The sequence below is a fragment of the Homo sapiens genome, chromosome 14 (genome assembly GCF_000001405.40).
Source record: "Homo sapiens chromosome 14, GRCh38.p14 Primary Assembly".
Classification (NCBI taxonomy): domain Eukaryota; kingdom Metazoa; phylum Chordata; class Mammalia; order Primates; family Hominidae; genus Homo; species Homo sapiens.
This window is the reverse complement of record NC_000014.9, coordinates 100,190,442-100,207,915: the sequence shown is the minus strand read 5'-3', so window position 1 is coordinate 100,207,915 and position 17,474 is coordinate 100,190,442. Positions and strand designations below refer to the sequence as shown.

The window sequence follows — 17,474 nt, the reverse complement described above, 5'->3', positions numbered from 1 at the left end:
ACGTGGAGAACTTTTGTGTCTAGCTCAGGGATTGTAAATGCACCAATCAGCACCCTGTCAAAACGGACCAATCGGCTCTCTGTAAAATGGACCAATCGGCTCTCTGTAAAATGGACCAATCAGCAGGATGTGGGTGGGTCCAGATAAGACAATAAAAGCAGGCTGCCGGAGCCTGCAGTGGTAACTGGGTTAGGGTCTCTTCTAGTTTGTGGGGGTTTTGTTTTTTTGCTGTTTGCAGTAACTTGCTACTGTTTGCTCTTTAGGTCCACACTGCCGTTATGAGCTGTCGCACTCACGTGCGCGAAAGTCTGCAGCTTCATTCCTGAAGCCAGCGAGACCACGAACCCACCGTGAAGAACAAGCAACTCCAGACGCGTGGCATCAAGAGCTGGAACACTCACCGCGAAGGTCTGCCACTTCACTCCTGAGCCAGCGAGACCACGAACCCACCAGAAGGAAGAAACTCCGAACATATCAGAGCGAACAAATTCCAGACACGCCGCCTTTAAGAACTGTAACACTCACTGCAAGGGTCCGCGGCTTCATTCTTGAAGTCAGTGAGACCAAGAACCCGCGAATTCTGGACACAATCCCAACTACTTGGGAGGCTGAGGCAGAAGAATCGCTTGAACCCAGGAGCGGGAGATTGCAGTGAGCCGAGATTGTGCCACTGCACCCCAGCCTGGGCAACAGAGCAGGACTCCATCTCAAAAAATAATGATAATATGTTTTGGGAGGGTGAGGCTTGTGGATATCTTGAGCCCAGGAGTTCAAGACCAGTTTGGGCAACATCATGTCTCTACAAAAAATATAAAAATTAGGCGTGGTGGCATGTACCTGTAGTCCCAGCTACTCAGAAGGCTGAGGTGGGAGGATGCTTGAGGCCAGGAGGAGGAGGTTTCAGTAAGCCGAGATCGTGCCACTACACTCCAGCTTGGGCTGAAAAAGGTAATGTATTCACGAGACATCGGTTTTAAAGGCACAAAAGGCTAGTGTTTCAGAAAGACTCAAGCCATGTTTTTCTCTGCTCTCACACCAATACAGCAACAATCAACATAAGACTTCTGTGACCCCAAAATATATGGGGGTTTCTCCCCACCAGCAAGCAAGCAATAAGCAATCAATTCTGCAGCAGATGCCGTCTGGGTGTCCTCCAATTCAATTCTGACACCATCTACCTGGAGCTAGCATCAGATCCCACAGGTAGCCACCCCCGTTCTCACACCAGTCGCCAAGTCCGGGCCTCCGGAGCTTCTGGCTTCAAGTTGGGGTTCCCACAACCTCTGCCCTGGGTTTAATTTACTGGCGTGGCTCACAGAACTCAGAAAAACCTGTACATTTGCCAGTTTACTATGAAGGATATTATGAAGGAGACAATGAAGAGACGCATCGGCGCGGTATTGGGGTAGGGGTGCAGAGCTTCATGCCCTGCTGGCACACCACCCTCCAGGAGCCCCCATGCACCCAGTCATCCAGAAGCCCTCCCAAGCCTGTCTTCTTGGGTCTCTATGGAGGCTTCTTTATGTCAGCATTTCTGCCCCCAGGGTATGGGGTGGAGCCTTCTCTGGAATAAGGGTCTTATGACCCAAGATCAGATTAGGGTCCTGCCTTGGGCAGGTGAAAGGAGGCAGGAAAAGGTCAGAGAGATTCTGTTTCCCGAGGTCTAACACTCGCAACGTTCTTTTTTTAGTTATTCTTTTTATTTATTTTTTACCTTTTCAGTGGTGCTGACACTCCCAACATTGTAACAAAAGACTAACAAGGGCTCTGGGAGTTATGAGATAGGAACCATGGATCACACACACACACAGCCATGGATAACATGGCTAAACCCCATCTGTACAAAAAAAAAAAAAAAATTAGCTGGGTGTGATGGTGCACCTGTAGTCCCAGCTACTCGGGCGGCTGAGGTGGGAGAATCCCCTGAGCCCTGGAGGTCAGGGCTGCAGTGGGCCAAGATCGCACCACTGCACTCCAGCCTGGGCATGGGAGTAAGATTCTGTCTCAAAAAAACAAAGCAAAACAAAACAAAACGTATTCTCATCACACCATAGCTAGTCAGTGAAAAGCCAGTCTTCCCCCAACTCTTGTCCCCCAGCTCACCTCTCCAGAAGGACCACTCCTAGTAGTTTCTTGGGTATGCCCTCCAGAGACAGTCCTCACAAATATATGAAAACACATACATAATATTCTGCACTTTGCTTTTCACATAACACTGGGGTGGAGATCTTTCCATATTATAGCACAGAGGTTCCTCACTGTTCCTGGCTGTGTCAGCCACTGAGGTACACTGGGGTGGTAGGGTGGTGAACCCCAACTCCAAGGGGACAGAAGCTCTTGCACTTGGGACCCTTCCAGACCTTGCCCTATGCACCTCTTCATAGGGTGTTCATCTGTATCCTTTATAATCTCAACCCTAATTAATGACATTGAGAAATTATGATTGGGCCAGGCACGGTGGCCTGTAATCCCAGTACTTTGGGAGGCCGAGGCAGGGAGATCACCTGAGATCAGGAGTTCAAGACTAGCCTGACCAACATGGTGAAACCTCTTCTCTACTAAAAATACAAAAATTAGCTGGGTGTGGTCGCACATGCCTGTAATTCCAGCTACTGGGGAGGCTGAGGCATGAGAATCTCTTGAGCCTGGGAAGTGGAGGTTGCAGTGAGCCGAGATTATACCATTGCACTCCAGCCTGGGTGATAGAGTGAGACTCTGTCTCAAAAAAAGAAAAAAAATTATGGTTGAATTAAGACTCTACTCCAGGCCAGGCGTGGTGGCTCACACCTATAATCCCAGCATTTTGGGAGGCCAAGGCAGGCGGATCATGAGGTCAGGAGTTTGGGACCAGCTTGGCCAACATGGTGAAACCCTGTCTTTTACTAAAAATACAAAAATTAGCTGGACATGGTGGCGCGCGCCTGTAGTCCCAGCTACCTGGGAGACTGAGGCAGAAGAATCACTTGAACCCGGGAGGTAGAGGTTGCAGTAAGCCAAGATCACACCACTGCACTCCAGCCTGGCGACAGAGTGAGATTCTGTCTCAAAAGAAAAAAAAAAAAAGTTTACTCCAGCTCAAAGCTTGAGGCCGTCCACCTGGGGAACACTGACTTCAGAAGAATGAATGGGTCAGGTCAGCTTCCAAAGTGGAGAAGGGAAGGTTTTGTTTACATACGCAGTTCACAGGATTGCAACATTTTCCATGCAAGGTCAGTACATATGCTTTAGCAATTTGATTGGTTATGGCTTGTCACATTCCAAGGAAGATTGCTTTAATATTCTGTGAGGAGGGGTGCTGATTCAAAGGGATCTATTTCTGGAGCCACAGTGCTTTTTCTAATCATTTATAGGAAAAGGCAGAGGCTGTTGAAGCTGCTACCTGACTCAGGCCACATAGCCACATTCCTCTCAAGGCTCAAAATAGTTTTGGCTGGGTGCCGTGCCTCACCCTGTAATCCCAATGCTTTTGGAGGCCAAGGTGGGAGGATAGCTTGAGCCCAGGAGTTCAAGGTTGCAGTGAGCTATGATCACACCTCTGCATTCCAGCCTGGGCAACAGAGTGAGACCCTGTCTCTATAATAATAATAATTCAAAGTTCCAATAGCTTTAAGTTTGAATTATTTAATTTCATAATAATAAACCAGCATATATAAAGTGTTTCATTGAGTTTGTTTGTTTTAGAGATGGGGTCTCACTATGTTGCCCAGGTTGGAGTGCAGTGGTTATTCACAGGCATGGTCATGCACAATGACTGTAGTCTCAAACTCCTAGGCTCGAGTGATCCTCCCACACCTTCTCTGTTACCTATGACTACAGGCATGTGCCCCCATGCCTGCCTGCCTGCCTGGCTCTATTTCCTTAAGTTTTTTTTTTTTTTTTTTTTTTTGAGAAGGAGTCTTGCTGTGTCACCCAGGCTGGAGTTCAGTGCTGCAATCTCAGCTACTGCAGCTTCCACCTCCTGGGTTCAAGCGATTCTCGTGCCTCAGCCTCTCAAGTAGCTGGGATTACACGTGTGCACCACCATGCCTGGATAATTTTTGTATTTTTTGTAGAGACGGCATTTTGCCACGTTGGCCAGGCTGGTCTCGAACTCCTGACCTCAAGTGGTCCACCTGCCTCGGCCTCCCAAAGTGCTGAGATTATAGGCATGAGCCACCGCACCTGGCCCTATTTCCTTAAGTTATATGAGTCATTCTAGCCCATAACTGAACCAGAGGAGGCGGTCTTGGAAACCTCCAGCTTACAGTCGCTCAGTCAGAAATATGTGAGGATGGATTTACATTTGGCTTCTGAAATGGGGGCAGTTTTGTGGGACTGAGCCTTTAATTTGTGGAATCTGATGTTAATTCCAGGTAGATAGTGTCAGAATTGAATTGAATTCTAGGACACTCAGTGTTGGTCAGAGTGGGGAAAATTCGCACACAAGGTATCAGAAGTGCTCTGTGTGAGTGTAGACAAACTGTTTTCACAATGTGTGACCCAGGGATGCTTCTGAAACTTCATCACCCATGGATGTCTTTCATTTATAGAGCTTCCTTGGCACAGAATTTAGGTATCAGATGCTGACTGGTGATTGACTTGTGACTCTGAGCAATGGCCATGTTGAATTCATACCCTGAAATCCGCGATACTGAAGCCTACAATTCATCCTTTCAATTTCCCATAGTAAAAACTCAGGAGAAAAACAGCCTGATTCTAAATGGGGCAGCTCCGCTGGGAGTTGGTAGATAGGACACCCAAACTGCAGAGAAAACCTGGAATAAAGTGAAGCTCATTTTAAGAACTCTTGAGTCCAAAACCTTAAAAACACATGCACTTTTCAGCCCAGCAATTCCACTTCTAGGACTTTTCCAGGGTGATAAACCAGGGACTCAGATATTCCCCCAGGGTTGTTTCCAATCACTCAAATTGGAAAAAAACTCAGTGTCCACAGAAGGGGAGAAGGGGGGGTGCAGAACAGAGGCAATGGGGTTGTGGTTAAGTAAATGGAGATGTAGCCCTGGGACTGGGTCCCCTAGGACGAGGGAAACATGAGCAGGAAATGGATAAATAGAAAGATAATCGAGTTTTAAGCCCCCAGAGAGAAGGCTGGTTACGAAATAGTATATACGATGTGATTTTTTTTTTTTTTTTTTTTGAGAAAGAGTCTCTCTCTCTCACCCAGGCTGGAGTACAGTGGTGTGATCTCAGCTCACTGCAACCTCTCCCTCCCGGGTTCAAGCAATTCTCGTGCCTCAGCCTCCCGAGTAGTTGGGACTACAGGGATGTGCCACTATACCCAGCTAATTTTTGTATTTTTAGTAGAGACGGGGTTTCACCATGTTGGCCAGGTCGGTCTCGAACTCCTGACCTAAGGTGATCCACCCACCTCGGCCTCCCAGAGTGCTGGGATTACAAGCATGTGCTACTGCGCCTGGCCTACAGTGTGATTCTAATGTAAGATAACAAGTACGCACAGAAAAGAACAGATCAACGCCGGGTACGGTGGCTCACGCCTGTAATCCCAGCACTTTGGGAGGCCAAGGCGGGCTGATCACCTGAGGTCAGGAGTTCGAGACCAGCCTGGCCAACATGGTGAAACCCTATCTCTACTAAAAATACCAAAAAATGAGCCGGATATGGTGGCAGGCACCTGTAATCCCAGCCAGTTGGGAGGCAGGAGAATCACTTGAACCCAGGAGGCGGAGGTTGCAGTGAGCTGAGATCACACCATTATACTCCAGCCCCAGCAACAAGAGCGAGACTCCATCTCAAAAAAAAAAAAAAAGATTGAAAAGATATACGAGAAAGTATTAATGGTGATTCTATTTGGGAAGGGTTTTTGTTTGTTGTTTTTCTTTTCTAAATTTCATGCATTCGACAGGTCATCATTGAGCAGATACTGTGTGCTTGGCACTGTGCTGGGCAGGTTCCGGAGACATAGCACGGAACAAAACAAAGGTCCCACTTCCCTGGGCTCACATTGCAGGGACAGCTGCCTGCAATAACATATACATGTCACCTTCCTACTATGGGTTTGTTTGTTTTTTGAAACAGGTTCTTGATCTGTCACCCAGACTGGAGTGCAATGTGGCAGTCGTAGCTTACTGCAGCCTCGAACTCCAGGGCTCAAGCTATCCTCCCCCATCAGTATCCCAGGTAACTGGGATTACAGGTGTGTGGCACCATGCTTGGCCCTATTTTTAGATTTTTCTTTTTTCTTTTTTTGTTGGTAGAGACAGGTTTTCACTATGTTGCCCAGACTAACAATATATGTTTTTAAAAAGTTATCTTTGCATTCTGAGTAGGAATTAGTAAAAATAATAATAATAATTAATTAATTAATTAAAAAAGTAAAGACTTGAACTTCCTATCTCCCTCTCCTCTCCCTGTGAAGAAAAAAATAATAAGTTTTTTTTGGTAAAACTTACCTTTTTTTTTTTTGAGACAGAGTCTCACTCTTTCCCCCAGGCTTGAGTGCAATGGTGCAATCTCCGCTCACTGCAACCTCCACCTCCCGGGTAGAGGGAATTCTCTTGCCTCAGCCTCCCAGACAGCTGGAATTATGGGTGCACACCACCACGCCTGGCTGTTTTTGTTTTGTTTGTGTATATATATATATTTTTTTGTATATAACTTTTGAGATAGAGTCTTGCTCTGTTGCCCAGGCTGGAGTGCAGTGGTGCAGTCTCCGCTCACTGTAACATCTGTCTCCCGGGTTTAAGCGAGTCTCCTGCCACAGCCTCCCGAGTAGCTGGGATTACAGGTGTGGGTCACCACACCCGGCTAATTTTTGTATTTTTAGTAGAGATGGGGTTTCACCATGTTGGCCAGGCTGGTCTTGAACTCCTGGCCTCAAGTGATCCTCCCACCTCGGCCTCCTAAAGTGCTGGGATTATAGGCGTGAGCCACTGCACCTGGCCAGTAAAATTTATCTTTAAGAACAAGTTAAAAACAATGTGTAACTACAATGGAATATTATTTGACTAAAAAGAGAAGTGTGGATACATGCTGCAATATAAATCAAACTTGAAAACATTATGCTGGCTGGGCGCGCGGTGGCTCACGCCTGTCATCTCAGCACTTTGGGAGGCCAAGGCGGGTGGATCACGAGGTCAAGAGATGGAGACCATCCTGGCCAACATGGTGAAACCCCATCTCTACTAAAAATACAAAAAATTAGCCGGGCATGGTGGCAGGCGCCTGTAGTCCCAGCTACTCGGGAGGCTGAGGTAGGAGAATCACTTGAACCCGGGAGGCGGAGGTTGCAGTGAGCTGAGATTGTGCCACTGCACTCCAGCCTGGCGATGAAGGGAGACCATCTCAAAAGAAAGAAAGAAAGAAAACATTATGCTAAGTAAAAAGCCAGACACAAAAGGCTGTGTTATCCCATTTATGCAAAATGCTCAGAATCAACAAATCCATAGAGGCAGAAAGCAGATTAGTGCTTCCCAGGGGATGGGGAGTGGGGTTAGATAACAGGATGTGACTGCTAATAGGTACCAGGTTTCTTGTTGGGGAGTTTAAAATGTTCTAAAATGAGAAAATGGTCATGGCTGCACAACTCTGAATATACTAAATCCTTGAGTTGCACATTTTAAAAGGGTGACTTTTAGGCTATGAGAATTATATCTCAATACATGTGTTATTCAAAAGTGTATAGAGGCCAGGCGAGGTGGCTCACGCCTGTAATCCCCACACTTTGGGAGGCCGAGGCGGGTGGATCACTTGAGGTCAGGAGTTCAAGATCAGCCTGGCCAACATGGTGAAACCCTGTCTCTACTAAAAAAATACAAAAATTAGGCTGAGCGTGGTGGCTCATGCCTGTAATCTCAGCACTTTGGGAAGCTGAGGCAGGTGTCTCTACTAGAAATACAAAAATTAGCCGGTCGTGGTGGCATGCGCCTGTAGTCCCAGCTATTCAAGGAGGCTGAGGCAGAAGAATTGCTTGAACCCAGGAGGCGGAGGTTGCAGTGAGCCGAGATAGCACCACTGCACTCCAGCCTGGGCAACAGAGCAAGGCTCCATCTCAAAAAAAAAAAAAAAGTGTGTAGGGCTGTTTGCCTGAGAATGGGAAACCCACGCAGGGCCCAGTGAAGCACACTTCAATGACACAGGTGCAGCAGAGGGACACCTCCCAGCATCAGTGTCCTCAATGGGTAGCCCCCGGGGCCAGCAGCATCACTGGGGACCTGCTGGGAATGCAAGCCCTCAGGCCCCACCCCAGAGCTGCTGAGTCAGAGACTCTGGGAGGGGGCCCAGCCATCCCTTTGTCAGGCCCTCCTGGGGATGCCCACTCTCCTCCAAGGATCACCGCCCTAGACCCAACCTGGGCAGCAGAGGGAAGCCAACAGCATGAAAAGGGAAACTCTCCACCATGCCACAAAACCCAGGCCTCTACGCCCAGCTGAAAAGCCATCTCCTGCAAGAATTTCTCTGAAATTCTTCATCGCTTCATCACTGTGGCTTCAGTGTGGTTCCAGATCCGAGTCCATATAGCACATGTGCAGGCAAGTCTCATCAGGGCTTGGGATCTCTAACCCAGCTCTTTATACACTTGGGCCTGTGACTCCCTACAGTCGAGGGCCCTGATGGACAGAGCGTGACAGCAATGAAGACTCCAGTGTTCAGAATGATTCTGAAGTACAGTGAAGAGGAGAGGAAACAAGAGGACAGAGGACAGTTCCTTGGTTCTATTCTCTCTCTCTCTTTTTTTTTTTTTTTTTTTTTTGAAACAGTCTCAGTCACTCTGTTGCCCAGGCTGGAACACAGTGACATGATCATGGCTCACTGCAGCCTCGACCTCCCTGACTCAAGTGATCCTGCCACCTCAGCCTCCTTAGTAGCTGGGACTACAGGTTGTGCCACGACACTCAGCTAATTTTTTATTTTTTGTAGAGACAGGGTCTCACTTTGTTGCCCAGGCTGGTCTCGGACTCCTGAGCTCAAGAAATCCTCCTTCCCAGCCTCTCGAAATGCTGGGAGTGACTACAGACATGAGCAACTGTGCCAGGGCATTTTTATGTTTAATTGAGAAAATACCACTTCCAATACCACTCTTTAATTCTGGACAGTTTTTGTAAACCCCAAAGAGAAATTCGGACTGTTAGTAGTCACTCCTATGCCCCCTTCCATCCAAACCCTGGCAACCACCATCTACTTTATGTTTCTTTCTTTTTTTTTTTTTTTTTTTTGAGACAGAGTTTCACTCTTGTTGCCCAGGCTTGAGTGCAGTGGCACAATCTCGGCTCCCTGCAACCTCTGCCTCCAGGGTTCAAGCGATCCTCCTGCCTCAGCCTCCCAAGTAGCTGGGATTACAGGCATGTGCCACCACGCCCAGCTAATTTTTGTATTTTTAGTAGAGACGGGGTTTCACCATGTTGGCCACGCTGGTCTCCAACTCCTGACCTCAGGTGATCTGCCCACCTCAGCCTCCCAAAGTGCTGGGATTACAGCTGTGAGCCACCACGCCCGGCCTTCTTTCTGTTTCTATGGATATGCCTCATCTGGACATTTCATATATGTGGAATCCTACAATAGGTGGCCTTTTGTAACTGGCTTCTTCAATTTACCATAATAAATTTGTTTTGTTTTTCTAAAAATGTATGTACAAAATCTCCACACCTCTCTTGTCAGTTTCCATATGCTCCTGCAATGTGGTTCCTGCGTAGAGCTGGGCAGTGAGATTATAGGTTTGTGTGTATTTTCCACAAATATGTGCTATATTTGTAATTTTTTCTCTTTTTTCTTTTTTTTTTTTGTGAGACACAGTCTTGCTGTGTTGCCAGACTGGAGTGCAGTGGCACGATCTCGGCTCACTGCAACCTCCACCTCCTGGGTTCAAGCATGTAATCAGTTTTTTAAAGTTTACTTTAAGAAACCCCAAAAACCTTGATTCTCCTGTTGCTGCTGTAACCAGTAAAAAGAAAAAAACAAACTGGCTGGGCACGGTGGCTCACGCCTGTAATCCCAGCACTTTGGGAGGCCAAGGCGGGCAGATCTCTTGAGGCCAGAAGTTTGAGACCAGCCTGGTCAACATGGTGAAACCCCATCTCTACTAAAAATTCAAAAATTAGCTGGGTGTGGTGGCACACACCTGTAATCCCAGCTACCCTGGGGGCTGAGGCAGAAGAATCACTTGAACCTCGGAGGTGGAGTCTTCAGTGAGCTGAGATCACGCCACTGCACTCCACCCTGGGTAACAGAGCGAGACTCCATCTCAAAAACAAACAAGAAAACAAACAAAAAAAGCCTCGATTCTTGTGTATATTATGTTATAATTTACATACAAAGAGGTAGGAGAATACAAACAGATACATTTTTACTTAATAGAGAAAGAAACAGTTTCTAATCCCAGCATTTTGGGAGCCCAAAAGTTTGAGATTGGCCTGGGAAACGTAGTGAGATTCCATCTCTACAAAACACTTTTTAAAAAGAGAAAGAAATAGCAGAAGGGAAAACCGGGATATAAATGAAGTGGCTGCCCAGCGGCCTGTGACTTATGACTGCTGTCTTGGAAGTGGGTCCTGGGGGGTCCATCAGCCTCTTTTTTTTTTTGAGACAGGGTCTCGCTCTGTCGTCCAGGCTGGAGTGCAGTGGTGCAATCATAGCTCACTGCAGCCTTGAATTCCTGGGGCTCAACCAATCCTCCCACCTTAGCCTCTTGAGTAGCCGGACGGCAGTCGTGTTCTACCTCACCCAGCTCATTTTAGAATTGTTTGTAGAAACAGGGTCTCGCCGTGTTGCCCAGGCTGGTCTCGAACTTCTGGATTGAAGCCATCATCCTGCCTTAGCCTCCCAAAGTGCTGGAATTACAGATGGGTGCCACCAGGCCTAGCCTCATCAGACTCTTGATTCTACTTTTGCCTGTGTTTGAAACTGCTCTAGGCCGAGCACGGTGGCTCATGCCTGTAATCCCAGGACTTTGGGAGGCCGAGGCGGGCAGATCATGAGTTCAGGAGTTTGAGACCAGCCTGGCCAACATAGTGAAATGCTGACTCTACTAAAAATACAAAAATTAGCTGGGCATGGTGGCGTGTACCTGTAGTCCCAGCTACTTGGGAGTCTGAGGCAGGAGAATCGCTTGAACCTGGGAGGCAGAGGTTGCGGTGAGCTGAGATCGTACCACTGCACTCCAGCCTGGGCAACAGAGTGAGACTCTGTCTCAAAAATAAATAAATAAATAAATAAATGAAATTAAAAAATAAGAAACTGGGCCAGGCGCGGTGGCTCACGCCTGTAATCCTAGCACTTTGGGAGGCAGAGGCGGGCGGATCACGAGGTCAGGAGATCGAGAACATCCTGGCTAACATGGTGAAACCCCGTCTCTGCTAAAAAAATAAAAAATAATAAAAAATAAAAAGAAACTGCTTGGCCGGGCGTGGTGGCTCACGCCTGTAATCCCAGCACTTTGGGAGGCCGAGATGGGCAGATCACAAGGTCAAGAGATCAAGACCATCCTGGCTAACACAGTGAAACCCCATCTCTACTAAAAATACAAAAAAAGTAGCTGGGCATGGTGGTGGGTGCCTGTAGTCCCAGCCACTCAGGAGGCTGAGGCAGGAGAATGGCGTGAACCTGGGAGGCAGAGTTTGCAGTGAGCCGAGATTGTGTCACTGCACTCCAGCCTGGGCGACAGAGTGAGACTCCATCAAAAAAAAAAAAAAAAAACAAAAAGAAACTGCTCATAACAAAAATTTTATTTTATTTATTTTTTTCAGACAGGGTCTCACTCCATTGCCCAGGCTGGAGTGCAGTGGCATGATCTCGGCTCACTGGAACCTCTGCCTCCTGGGTTCAAGTGATTCTGCCACCTCAGCCTCCCCAGTAGCTCTACTGGCACGTGCCACCACACCCAGCTAATTTTTGTATTTTTTGGTAGAGAGTGGGTTTCACCATGTTGGCCAGGCTGGTATCGAACTCCTGACCTCAAGTGATCTGCCCACCTTGGCCTCCCAAAGTGCTGAGATTATAAGCATGAGCCACTGTGCCTGGCCCAACATTTTTAAAATTTACTTACACAATTCAGCAGATGTTTATGACTGAGCAGCTGCATTGATTGAGTGCCTGCTGGGTGCTGAGCACTGTGCCACGAGCTCCAAGTATCCAGGAGGTCATTTCATCCTCACACTGGCCCAAGGAGAGCATACAGGTTACAGATCAGAGTCTAAGAGGTGGTAGACGAGGCAAGGAAACGTGTAGGTACTTGAAGGCTTTTTTTTTTTCTTTTTTTTGAGATGCAGTCTTGCTCTGTTGCCCAGGCTGGAGTGCAGTGGTATGATCTCGGCTCACTGCAGCCTCTGCTTCCTGGGTTCAAGTGATTCCCTTGCCTCAGCCTCCCAAGTAGCTGGGATTACAGGAGCCTGCCACGATGCCCAGCTAATTTTTTTTTTTTTTTTTAGATGGAGTTTCACTCTTGTTGCCCAGGCTGGAGTGCAATGGCGTGATCTCTGGCTCACCGCAACCTCCGCCTCACCGCAACCTCTGCCTCCCAGGTTCAAGCCATTCTCCTGCCTCAGCCTCCCAAGTAGCTGGGATTACAGGCATGTGCCACCACACCCGGCTAATTTTTTTTGTATTTTTAGTAGAGATGGGGTTTCTCCATGTTGGTCAGGGTGGTCTCGAACTCCCAACCTCAGGTGATCCGCCCGCCTCGGCCTCCCAGAGTGCTGGGATTACAGGCCTGAGCCACTGCGCCCAGCATGCCCAGCTAATTTTTTTTGTATTTTTAGTAGAGACAGGGTTTCACCATGTTGGCCAGGCTCATTTCGAACTCCTGACCTCAAGTGATCCACCCGCCTTGGCCTCCCAAAGTGCTAGGATTACAGGTGTGAGCCTGGCCTATGTGAAGGTTTATTTAAGCCCTCACCTCTCAGTGGTAGGCAGTGATTAGATAATACCTCAATGTGAAAAAATCAGTAACCATTAGTACTGTGTAAACCTGTCACTTCCACATATGGAGGTGAGAACCTGAAGAAACATCTAGAGGAGTACAAAGTGGCTGCCTCTTTGGGGAGGACCCAGGGTGGGCAAAGCAAGGCAAGGGACTGCCTTTTTTCATTGTAAGCCTTGTAGTTCTATTTGTCTGTTAAAAATATGTACGTGTTATTAATTTTATTGAAAAGAAAAGCTAAAGCAAAAAAGAAAAAAGGAAGAAAATGAAGGATCAAAGAGGTGAAGTAATTCGCCCAAGGTAACACAGGATTCAGAACTAAGTGTGTCTGAGTTCATATTTGGGATAGCCACAACCCTGCAGCCTTGCCCAGCCCTTGGCCTGATGCTGGAGTTGGGGTCTATGGGACCAGCCTCCAACCTTGAAGACAGATCACCTTCTGCTATGAAATGTTGCTGAAGTGAGAGCCTGTTGGAGACGTTCACCTGATGAGCCTTGATGAAACAGAAAGGACTTTTCACATGTCTGACCTTGCAGGCTGGTTTGTGGGGATTCAGTGTCCACCAAAGCCCCAGCCCAGTGCCAGCAAATCAGTAGAGTGTTGTCTAAGTCAGCGGCATTGTTTTGCGAGCCCATGGATGAGCTGTTCTCCAAGGTCAGCCACAAATGTGTCAGAATTCAAACCCAGGGCCTGGGGTTGAATTCAGGTCTCAGTAGCTGATGATCCTCAGCACAAATGGTGGGGCCAGTGCTGAGAAGTACATGGAGTCTGGAAAGTAAGGCCTGGTCTTGGCAATGTGGTGGAGGTGGGGCTGGATGGACCCTGGAGAGAGCAGCATGTGAAAGGCCCAGATGCATGGCCTGGGAGCTGACATGGGTCAGTGTAGCTGGAGAATAGAGCACAGGGTGGGAGAACCAGGAGGTTGCAGCCAGAGATGGGCAGAGGTGGAAGCAGGGCTTTGAAGGGCCTTGCAGGTTGCCATTGGCCCTGATGTCAGGGTAGCAGTGAAGGCCTGTGGCCATCACAAATGCCTGTCTATGCTCACCTTTCCCCTCCGCTTGCCTTCCCACCCCCACCCCCACCCCCGCCCCCGCAGGCGCTGACTCTCCCTTCCAGGGCCCTGCCCATCAGTTTTCACCAGCAGAGCTTCAGGCGCAAGGCTGCCTGGTATGAGGGTGCCCTCAGCTCCCCAGGCCTGTCCCCAAACAGTCCAGCTGGGGGACCCAGACAGTCATTCAGCCTCTAGGGGCCTCCACTGACTCCCCAGGAACAAAAGAGCCTTTGTGCCTCCCTCCCAGGGCTGCCATGGGCCTGAACATCAAGTAGCCTCTAAAGTACCTGGCAGGGGGCCTGGTACTCAGATGATGCCCAGGGATGTTACTTCCTAGCTATCGTCCCGCTCCTTGGTTTATATTAACACACAGGTATTAACGTGCCTTCTGTGAGCCACTCCTGCTTACTGGGGAGATACAGAGATGAAAAGTCAGTGGGTGTAGACAAGCAGATGGCAGCCCAGTGTGGGGTGGTCGGTGCCAGTAGGAGGAAGATGCACAGGGTATGAAGAAGCCCCAGAAGGCCCTTAACCCAACCCCAGCCGGGATTGCAAAGAACAGTCGGAGCAAGCGAGGGGGAGAGGAAGGGGGGAAAGGTCGTTCTGAGCAGAGGGCACAGCCTGGGTGAGTCTAGGCCGGCAAGGAGCACGTGGCAGGCCAGGGGGCCTGGCGGGAGGTCTGGCAAAGATTTGTGCCTTTATCCCCAAAAAGCCACTCCGGGGTGTGAAACACCGCCGCTAGGTGGAGAAGGGAGGCGAGAGCAGCGGCTCCAAGGCACCTGGGCGAAAGAGCGGAAGCGGCGCCGCTCAGGTCTCCGGCCCCGCCCTCTGGCCGAGGTGTCAGGCCTGACGCCCCGCCCACAGCTCGCTGAAGGGCTACGGGACGCGCGGGATGGGACTTTGCCTCCCTCGCTGGTTGGCCCGAGCCGAGGACACATGACACAGAGCGGCCAATCCCCGCGCCTCAGGGACCCATGCCCACTATTTCCGAGCCCGGCCCGCCTGATTGTCCCGCGCGGGAGCCGCAGGGAGACTGGTCGGCAGGGGGCGACAAAGGGCAACTTGAGCCGCCGGGACGCGGTTGTGGAGGCCCCAGGGCTGCCGGGCAGTAGCGATTTCCGGGACGGCCGGGCGGCCAAGTTCGGTGACCTTTCTATGGCGTGTGCGGTCGCCGAGGCCGCCCCGCGTCTGACATCCCCGGGGCAGTGGGCTCTCCTCGTGTGGCCTGGCGCGTGATTGCTGGCCCACCCCACTCTGCCAGGCCTCAGTTCCTAGTCTCTGAGGGTCTGGGCTTCTGCAGGGACGTAGGAGTTACAAAATGCCCCCTCCGCCCATGTCCCCCCATTTTTTGAGGTCTTGACCTCTACCTCCCAGAGCTCACGCTGCCTCCTCCAGGAAGCTTGTCCCGGAGCCCTGGGACGAGACTCGAGCCCCACCCCTGACCCCCGTGCTCTCGGGCCCACAAACAGGTCCCTGGGCCTTGACGCATGGCCATCTGGGGACCCCTGTCCCAGAACGCAGAGCCTGGGCAGAGCCCCCTCCCCAGCCATGGCCCCAGGTTCGTTGGGGGTCCTGAGGCTGGTAAAGGCCGCCTTTCGTCAGGCTGAGACCGTGAACTTGGCACGGGCCATCACCACCGACAGCTGACTAGTAGGAGATGCAAAGGGAGAGGACCCTGCCGAGGCCTGAGGTCCCCGTGAGGCGCGGGGGCTGGGGAGCCGAGAAGCCGACCTTGATGGAAGGCCGACCTTGATTAATTAAGGTATCTGGCAGAAGAAATTTATTTCTTTATCTTTTTTTTCTTTTCTTTTTTTTTTTCCCCTGACTTCTCCCACCCCGCCCTGAGCCCATCCGCATCTGGACTTAAGCCCTAGACCACTTCGGAAGTGGGTGGGTGGTGGGGGGAGGGGGGTGGTGATCATTTGCCAAGACATGTACAAAACAAAGTTTCTGGAAACAGGCTCTTCCAGAATTCAGCAGAGCCTGCTGGGAAGGCCACTCACCCCCTCGGGAACAAGGGTTTTGCCAAAAACACTGGACATGGAATTAAGCCTTACCGATTTATCTTGGTGATAGCCTCTCCCAGAGAAGGTCAGCTCTAAAAGGGAAGAAAAGTCTGTCCCCAGTTATAATTCTTTTTTTTCCTTTGAGACAGAGTCTCACTATGTTGCCCAGGCTCTAGTGCAGTGGCGCAGTCTTGGCTCACTGCAAGCTCCGCCTTCCGGGTTCAAGCGATTCTCCTGCCTCAGCCTTCCGAGTAGCTGGCATTACAGGCACCTGCCACCACGTCCAGCTAATTTTTTTGTATTTTTAGTACACACGGGGTTTCACCATGTTGGCCAGGCTGGTCTCAAACTCCTGACCTCAGGTGACCCGTCCACTTCAGCCTCCCAAAGTGCTGGGATTAGAGGCATGAGCCACCGCGCCCGGCCTGTTATCATTTTATTGAGTGTAGTATTTTATATTTTATTCCTTTAGCTAGTCAAGAAAAAAAAAGGAATAAAATATAAATCCAGGAGGCAGAGGTTTTGGTAAGCCGAGGTCGCGCCACCGCACTCCAGCCTGGGCAACAGAACGAGACTCCGTCTCAAAAAAAAAAAGCAAAAAACAAAAAAGACAGCCCGAGCGCGGGGCTCACGCCTGTAATCCCAGCACTTTGGGAGGCTGAGGCGGGTGGATCGCAAGGTCAGGAGATCGAGACCATCCTGGCTAACAGGGTGAAACCCCGTCTCTACTAAAAATACAAGAAATTAGCCGGGCGTGGTGGTGCACGCCTGTAGTCCCCGCTACTCTGGAGGCTGAGGCGGAAGAATCGCTTGAACCTGGGAGGCGGAGGTTGCAGTGAGCCAAGATCGTGCCGCTGCACTTCAGCCTGGGCGACAGAGCGAGACTCCATCTCAAAGAAAAAAAAAAAAAGAATAGACTAATCCATTTGTGGGTTAATAAATTAATGGGTTAGCATGTGAGTAGAACTACATACATGCCTGAGGGCTTGATGGAAGGCCGACCTTGATTAATTAAGGTATCTGGCAGAAGAAATTTATTTCTTTCTCTTTCTTTTCTTTTCTTTTTCTTTTTTTGAGAGAGAGTCTAGCTCTGTTGCCCAGGCTGGAGTGCAGTGGCACAATCTTGGCTCACTGCAACCTCTGCCTCCTGGGCTCAAGTGATCCTCTCACCTCAGCCTCCCAGTAGCTGGGACTACAGGTACATGCCACCATGGCTGGCTAATTTTTTATATTTTTAGTAGAGACGGGGTCTTGCCATGTTGCCCAGGCTGGTATGGAACCCCTGGGCTCAAGTGATCTTCCCACCTTGGCCTCCCAAAGCGCTGGGATTATAGGCTTGAGCCACCTTGCCTGGCCAGAAGAAATTTCTAAGTGTGAAGTGAAATAAAATATAGAGACAAATCTCTAAATTGAAAAAGTTTTATTTGAAAAGCAAGAATGGCAATTTGGGGCATATAAACAGACCAGGTAGTTTTCAGTATGTCTGAAGAACAAAGAGAAGGTTGGAGGTTTTATAAAAAAGAAATATTATGCATTGTTTTAAAA

The 17,474-nt window shown here is 49.4% G+C and overlaps 1 long non-coding RNA gene across 1 annotated transcript in view, besides 2 other annotated features; it reads left to right on the top strand.

Annotated features, from left to right (window-relative positions):
* The window catches only part of YY1-DT (YY1 divergent transcript), a 31,542-nt gene extending 30,706 nt beyond the window's left edge, over positions 1–836 (top strand). The window contains exon 2 of the long non-coding RNA NR_189150.1: positions 264–836. This is a non-coding gene — a long non-coding RNA (YY1 divergent transcript). The remainder of the gene's footprint in view (positions 1–263) is intronic.
* Positions 14,055–14,144: a silencer, noted in NCBI's record as "silent region_6077". NCBI's record gives its function as "represses an Ori minimal core promoter by ATAC-STARR-seq in GM12878 lymphoblastoid cells {active_cell/tissue: GM12878}" and the evidence as "EXISTENCE:reporter gene assay evidence [ECO:0000049][PMID:35858748]".
* Positions 14,735–15,054: a silencer, noted in NCBI's record as "silent region_6076". NCBI's record gives its function as "represses an Ori minimal core promoter by ATAC-STARR-seq in GM12878 lymphoblastoid cells {active_cell/tissue: GM12878}" and the evidence as "EXISTENCE:reporter gene assay evidence [ECO:0000049][PMID:35858748]".